This window comes from Homo sapiens, chromosome X, assembly GCF_000001405.40.
Source record: "Homo sapiens chromosome X, GRCh38.p14 Primary Assembly".
NCBI lineage: Eukaryota > Metazoa > Chordata > Mammalia > Primates > Hominidae > Homo > Homo sapiens.
The window spans coordinates 95,061,340-95,069,216 of NC_000023.11; the positions used below are offsets into that span (position 1 = coordinate 95,061,340).

The 7,877-nt window shown below is 33.4% G+C and overlaps 1 non-coding gene across 1 annotated transcript; it reads right to left on the reverse strand.

Annotated features, from left to right (window-relative positions):
• Positions 1-1,801: 1,801 nt before the first annotated feature.
• Positions 1,802-1,887, reverse strand: MIR548M (microRNA 548m). Its single transcript, NR_031667.1, has one exon. It is a non-coding gene; the product is annotated as a microRNA 548m (primary transcript).
• Positions 1,888-7,877: the final 5,990 nt, after the last annotated feature.

Here is a 7,877-nt window from a genome sequence, read left to right on the forward strand (position 1 = left end):
GTAGCTTCATAAATTTAGAAAAGTTCCAAAATAATGCTTAGAAAGAGTAGCTATTTAACTTCTCATTGAACAAAATTCAGTGAATTTCTTTGTATGTGGGGTGAATTCAAAATCTAAGTGAGGTAACTAAAGTATATCATACATATGAGGTGATGAATAAAGAAAAATAATTTTAAAGGAAGATATAAGTGCTGATGATAAATGAGAAGGATGGAAAGTAAACCAATATTTATTGTTATCACATATCACAATAAAAACTCCACTCTAAAACAGGATTATGGATGAAGGAATTCCCCACCTTATGAACTTATTTATATTAGAGCCACAGAAATAGCTCAAAACTATCCATTTTTATTTCATTGGTGGCTGAAATGATGCAAGGAATGTGGCAGCAAGCCCACCTGCGATTTCAATGACAATATTAGCAGGGGTACTCTAAATATCTTGGTGCAAAGAAACATTAACAACCTCTATGACATTCTGTTGGGTATAAAAATGGAAAGTGAGATTTAATGAATACAAGCTATTGATCAGAGGTCAGTGTCTACATTGATACTGTTAATAATAATATCAAAATAACAAAAAATAAACTAACCACTACCACCACTTACTGAGTTCCTACTATTTGCCAGGCACTTCTTTTTATATACATTATCTTGCAATAGCCTTATTTATCCCTGTTTTTAAGGCTGAATAAAGTACAACTCAAAGAGGTTAAGTACCATTCCCAGAGTCTTACATAAGTAACAGAACTGGAATATGAAAAGCCTCATGTTCTTTTAAGTGAATAAAATTTTCTCAAACTTGCATTTTTAAAATATTTTCAGGGACATATTCGTAGGTATCCCATGAAAAAAGACCCAATAAGCAAAGAGCTGTGGGGGAAAAAAGTCATACTATTGCATGAGTCTTTAAAAAAATTTCCAAGCATATTAGAAGAATAATGGTTCTCCATCTTCTTCATGATGTGCTTATTTCACATTGCATGCCTGTATCGAAACATCTCATGTACCCTATAAATATATACACCTGCTATGTACCCAAGAAAATTAAAAATAAAAAAATTAAAAAAGAGTAATTGTTCTAAGAAATCCCACAGTAAATAACTGACTTAAATAATAAAATACCAACCTGATTTGAACATATAATTCATTTTGCAAAAACATTTATTAGTATATTTGAAGCTGTGTTCTGAAAACCACTGATTCAGAAAATCTCATTAGTGAAATGAAACCAAAATATACACTGACCACATCATGATTTTATATCTGAATTGCAATACACAACTTTCAAAGTACTTTCAAAATAATTATCTCATTTAACGCTTATAGTAATCTAAGGCAGACCTGATGGTAATGGTATTATCCTCGCTTTCCCAATCAAATATTTTCAAGTTCATTGAGGCTATGAGTTTACCAAGATCACAGCTACTAAATGGTAAAGGTGAAAGAAGAACTGTGGTCTTCCAACTTCTAGTCCAGTGTTCTTTATGTTATACTATACTACATTGCTAAGGTACTCTTTGCGCTTAGTCTCAAAAATTAAGGTTAATTTACATGTTTGAATTTATACTAAGTAAAACATTGGTGATAAGATTTGAAATGTTGCTTAGTTGTCAAAAAAAGTCTTATAATTTGTTCAACCTAGAGATAAGAAAAAGCATCTTAAAGTCCCCAAATCACAAACTGTAAGACAAAATTTTATGCATTGACTATATCAAGATAAAATATTTCAGGGTAGTAAATTACTCCAGTCAACTTACTGATAGTAGATACTTGCCATGTCTATAATTCCGAGGGGCTAATATTAGGTTGGTGCAAAGGTATTTGTGGCTTTTGCATTACTTTAATGACAAAAACCACAAATACCTTTGCACCAACCTAATATCTAGAATAAACACCAACAAAAAAAACTCATATGAACCAACAAGAAAATAAAATCGTAAATTTAAGAAAATATAAGAATAAGCAAGTCAGAGAAGGGAAAATCTAATATCCAATAAGCATGAGAAAATATGTTCAAAATCACTAGTAATAAAAGGTATATTAAAACAATGCTTTGCCACTTTCCATTTATATTTGCAAAGATTAGAAAATTTTATAATGTTATATATTGACAAGGATGAGAAATCAGATTTCATTTATCATTGGTGGGCATGTAGACATGTGCAGCCATTCTGAAGAGTAGTGTGACAGCAACTAACCAAATTAAGTGCATGCATATGCTATGACCTATTAACCTGGGTTAATACAGACCTCTCCTGGGTCTGTAACCAAGAAGAATTCTCACATAGGATCATAGGAGAATATATATTTATTGTAGCATTGCTTGTGATTATAGAAAGTTGGAAGAAAACTAGATCTCTCTCTCTCTCTAAAAACACAGATGAGTAATACATGGTGAATGTCACTTGTGGTTTCTGCTCAGAGATATAGAAAGTTGAAAAGAACATTACACCTCCTATGCTTACAATAAGAAATGTCAGAAACACTGAAAATTAAGGACTTTTTGTGAACCCATCAGAGAACTAAAGTCAAAGGCCAATTTACCCAAAACCTTGGAGAGATTGGCTCCTGCAAGGAAAAATTAGACTCTAGCACTGGCTTATCTGGAGAAGATGTCAGTGAATGTTATACATTGAAGGAGACGCAGTTAAAAAGTTTTAACAAACTGCTAAAGACTAAGAACATGAGCTAGGATTAGAGTGTAAAGTCTTTAATGGTGTAAATACAGTGGGGTTAGCAGCGCGCTGAAAACTTTCTCATCAGGAACTTTACCAGGTGATCACAAGGAAGTGGGGAAAATCCCAAGAAAATTGGCTTCACAATACTGCCTAGGGGAAGGGGATAGGGGAAATTATATTCAGACCCATCTTTCTTAACGCACTTATGAAAAAAAAAAAGCTTTAATATTCAGTAGGGAGGAACAACAAAACTGTACCCTTAGGACTTCAAAACAAGGAATGTTATCAGGTATAAATAGAGATAGTAGATAATAATAAAAGAATCAATTCATCAAGAAGGCACATGCTTCCTAAATACATAAAATACATGAAGCAACACTCACAGAGCTGAAAAAACAAATAGCCACATCCACAATTAAAGTTGGAAACTTCAACAATTTTCTCAAAGGTATTGATAAATAAGTAGGCAGAAAAACTATATATATAAACTATATATAATATATAATGATATATATAAACTATATATATATACACACATATATATATATTCTGAGCAACACTATCATTGATATTTATGGAACAATCTACCTAACAATGGCAGAATGAATATACATTCTTCTGAAACGTACATGGGGCACAAACAAAGGTGGATGATATTCTGAACCATAAAGGAAAGCTTATAAATTAAAATAAATAGAAATTATACAAAGTGTGTTCTAGACTAGACAAAGTAAAAATCCATTACAGAAAGACAATAGGAAAATTCAAGAACATTTGGGAATTAAATGCCAAACTTCTAAATAATCCATATATCAAAAAGGAAGTCTTAAGGGAAATTAAAATATTTTGAACTGAATAAAAATTAAAATATAACATATCCAAATCTGTAGGATGCCACTAAAGTGGTGCTTAGAAGCAAATTGAATGCAAATAATAATTATAGAAAAAAAACAAAACAAAAATCTAAAATCAGTAGCCACCCCGAGTAATAGAGAAGAGGAGTAAATTAAACTCAAAGTGAACAGAAGAAAGTAAATAATACAAATTAAAGCATAAATCAATTGAAAATAACAAAACTAGGAAAAAATAATGAACAAAAAGATGTTTCTTTGAAAACATCAATAAAATTGTTAAAACTCTAACCAGAGTAACTAAAATAAAAAGAGAGAAGACACAATTACCAATATCAGGAATAAAAGAATGAACATCAATATTGACTCCACAGATGTGAAAATATAATAAGGAAATTATATTAACAACTTTATAATAATAAATTTAATACTGAAATGAAATGGACCAATTCCTCTAAATCTGCTGTGGTAAGCAGAATAATGACTCTTCAAAAAATGTTCATTTCCTAATACCCAGAACTCACGAATCTATAACTTTACTTGTCAAAGTCACCTTGAATGTGTGAGTAAAGTGAAACATCTTGAAATGGAAAACTTATTCTGGATTTTCTGGTTTAGTCCAACCCAATCATATAAATTCTTAACAGCAGAGAACATTTCCTGGATAAAGTCAGAATGAAAGATAAAGTAGGCAGAACAGTGTCCACACCCAAAGATGTACATATTCTAAACCTTGGAATTTATGAATATTTTACCTTACATAGCAGACAAAGTTTGCTGATGTGATAAAGTTAAGGATTTTGAAATGGGAGAATATTCTGAATTGTCCAATGTCCCCTATGTAATCGCAAGAGTCTTTATAAGAGAAAGACTGGAGGGTTAGCATTAGAGGAGGACAGGTAACAACGGAAAAAGGAGTCAGAGTAATACAGGACTATGTTCCAAATAATGCAGGTAATCTCTAAAAACTGAAAAAGGCAAGAAAATTAATTTCTCCTTAAAGCATTCAAAAGAAATGCCATTAATGCTGCTGAACTACTTTGGACATCCAAGTTTCAAAACTGTGAGATAATTAATTTGTATTGTTTGATGCCACTAAGTTTGTTAAGATTTGTTATAGCAGCAGTAGAAAACATACAAGATGTGATGATAGAAGACAGCCAGAAAGAGATTTGATATAGCTAAACTTGAAGATGGCTTCCTTGAAAACAAACAATGCAAGTGGCCATTAGAAGCTGGAAAAAGCAAAAACAACAAAAACAACAACAACAACAACAAAAACAGATTATCCCTTAGAGCCCCCCAAAATATAAAAATAAACACAGTCCTGACAACACCTTGATTTTAGCCCAATGAGTCACATGTCAGACTTCTGACTTTCAGAAGTGTAAGATCATACATTTGCATCAAGACACTAAGAATGTGATGATTTGTCACAGCAGCAGTAGAAAAGTAATATGGTCATAAACTACTAAAGCTCATCAATAATGGAAAACAACAAATAGTCCTAAATCTTAAAAAAAAAATTGTAATTGTACTTTAAAACCTTCCAATAAAGAAAATTCTAAACTCAATGATTTCACTGACAAATTCTACCAAACATTTGAGGAAGAAATACTACCAATTCTACAAAATTTATTCTAGAAAATAGAAGAGGAAGAAACACATTTGAACTCATTTCTTCATGGCATTATTATTCTTTTACCAAAATCACATAAAGACATTGAAAAAGGAAAATATTAATATCCTTCATGATAATGGATACAGAAATTCTCAACAAAATATTAGCTATTAAAATTCAGAAACATATATAAAAGGATAGTATAACTTGAAAAAAAAGGATTTTTTCAGGAATGCAGGACTAGTCCAAAATTGAAATATTAATGTAATTTGCCTTATTAAGTGGCTGCAAATGAAAACCCACACAATTAAAAAAAAATCTTTTTCATGGCAGCATGAAAAAAAAATAAAACTCACACATCTCAATAAATGCGGGAAAAAAATGTAAAAACTCTCAATGAACTAGTAATAAAAGTGAAGTTATTTAATTTACAAAAGGTCATCTATCAAGAACGTTCTCTCCCACCTGTCCTAATAAACATTATATTCAAAGTCCTAGTGGAGTAATCAGTCAAGAAAAAGAAATAAGACTTTAAAGATTTTTAAGGGAGAAATTAAACTGTCTCCATAAGATAACATTATTTTTCATACAGAAAATTCAAAAAAGGGTACAAAAAAGCTGTATAAACTAATAAACAAGTTTATAAGTTCCCATGATACAAGGTCAATATATGTCTATTGTATTCTTATATACGAACAATAAAAATCAATGTCATTTAAAGTTGCATAAAAATAAAAAAACATAGTTGAAGAATAATAAATTAAGTGCAGACTCTGTATAGAGTGAACGGAAAAACACTGATGAATGCAGTAAATGAATAGAAACACATAATTTTCATAGACTGCAATGCTTAATATTGGTAAGATGTCATTTTCCCCAAATTTTATCTGTAGATTCAACAGTCTATAGGGGATTAAGAATCTCAACAAATATTCTTGTATATAATGAGAAGCAGAAACTAAAATGTATAAGAAAGGGCAAAAAATAGAATAACGAAAAGAATTCTGAAAAAGGACAAAGTCGAAGCTATATTATCTGGTTTCAAGATTTATAAAGTTACAATAATTAAGACAGCATGGTATTGGCAAAGGATAGCCACCTGTATCAGTGGAACACAGCAGAGAGCCACAAAATAGACCAAAACAAATATAGTCAAGTAGATTTCGACAAGGAAGAAGATGCAGAATAAACTGTGCATATCCTTAGGTTTGGTGTTGAGATTTTAGATATGATATCAAAAGCAAAAGATATAAAAAACACTAATAAGTCAGATTTTTGTTTTGTGAAAGAAAAAATAGAAAAATAGGGATAAACAGAACCTAAAGCTAGCAGAAGAAAATAATAAACATGAGAACATAGAGGAAGATAACAGAGAATAGAAAAACAATAAAATGTCAATGAAACCATGAGCTGGCTCTTTAAAAACAGCAACAAAATAGACAAAATTTCAGCTAGACTGAATGAGAAAAAAATCAATAGTATGTGGGGTGGAGCAAGATGTTAGAATAGAAGGTTCCACTCATCACCACTCCCCTAACACAGACACCAATTTAACAAGTATCTGCAGAATAAAAGCTCCTTCTTAAGAACAACAACAACAAAAAGAGATGAGCACTCCCAGTACCGGGTTCTAAATTTATATTGCTGAAAGAGGCACTTAGGAGGCAGGAAAAACAGTTTTCAATTGCCAACGCCATTCTTTCCTCATCGACTGGCAGTGGCAGCATAGTGCTGAGAGCATTTTTGTGAGCTGTGAAGAAGGAGAGTGCAGCAACTGGGACGCATTAAATTCAGTGCTGCCCTATTATAACAGAAAACAAACAACCAAACTCAGCTGATGCCTGCTCATGGAGGGAGCATTTAATCCAGCCATAGCCAGAAGGGAATTGCTGATCCCAGTAGTCAAAAATTGAGTTCCTGCAAACCTCACGACTTCGGGATAAAGGGCTCTGGGGCCCCAAATAAACTTGAAAGGCAGTCTAGGCCACAAGAACTGCAACTCCCAGAGGAGTCCGAGTGCTGAACTGTGTCTTGAACTGGTAGCCTAGAGGGACATGTAACCTACTTACACACCAGCCAGGGTGGCTACGAAAGTGCTAGCATCACCACCACACTAACCTCAGGCTACACAGTTCATGGCTTGAAAAGAGACCTGTTCCCTCTGCTGAAGGAAAAAAAAAATGGAGAGGACTTTGTTTTGCACCTTGGGTACCAGCTCAACCACAGCAGTGTAGGACATTGGTCAGAGTCATGAGGACCCCTTTCCAGGCACTAGCTCTTGGGTGACATTTCTAGAAACAACCTCAGCCATAAAAGAACATGATGCCTTGAAGAAAAGGACACAGTCCAGGCAGGATTCACCACCAGTTAGCTGAAGAGCACTTGGGCTCACAAAAGCCAGAAGTGATATCCAGGTACTATGTCAAGGACCTTGCATGAGCCTCTGGAACTTGCTGGCTTCAGGTGAGACTTAGCACATTTGCACGTGTGGTGACTATAGGGGAAGGCTCCTTCTGCTTGAGAAAAATGGAGAGAAAAGTAAAGGGGACTTTGTCTTGCTCCTTAGGTACCAGCTCAAACACAAGGAGGTAGAACACTAAGTAGGCTCTTGGGGTCTTAGATATCAGGACTTGGCTCTTAGATAGCATTTCTGGACCTGCCCTGGGCCATAGGGGAGCCCACTGCCCTGAAGGGTGGGTTCCAGGCCTGGCAGAATTCATCA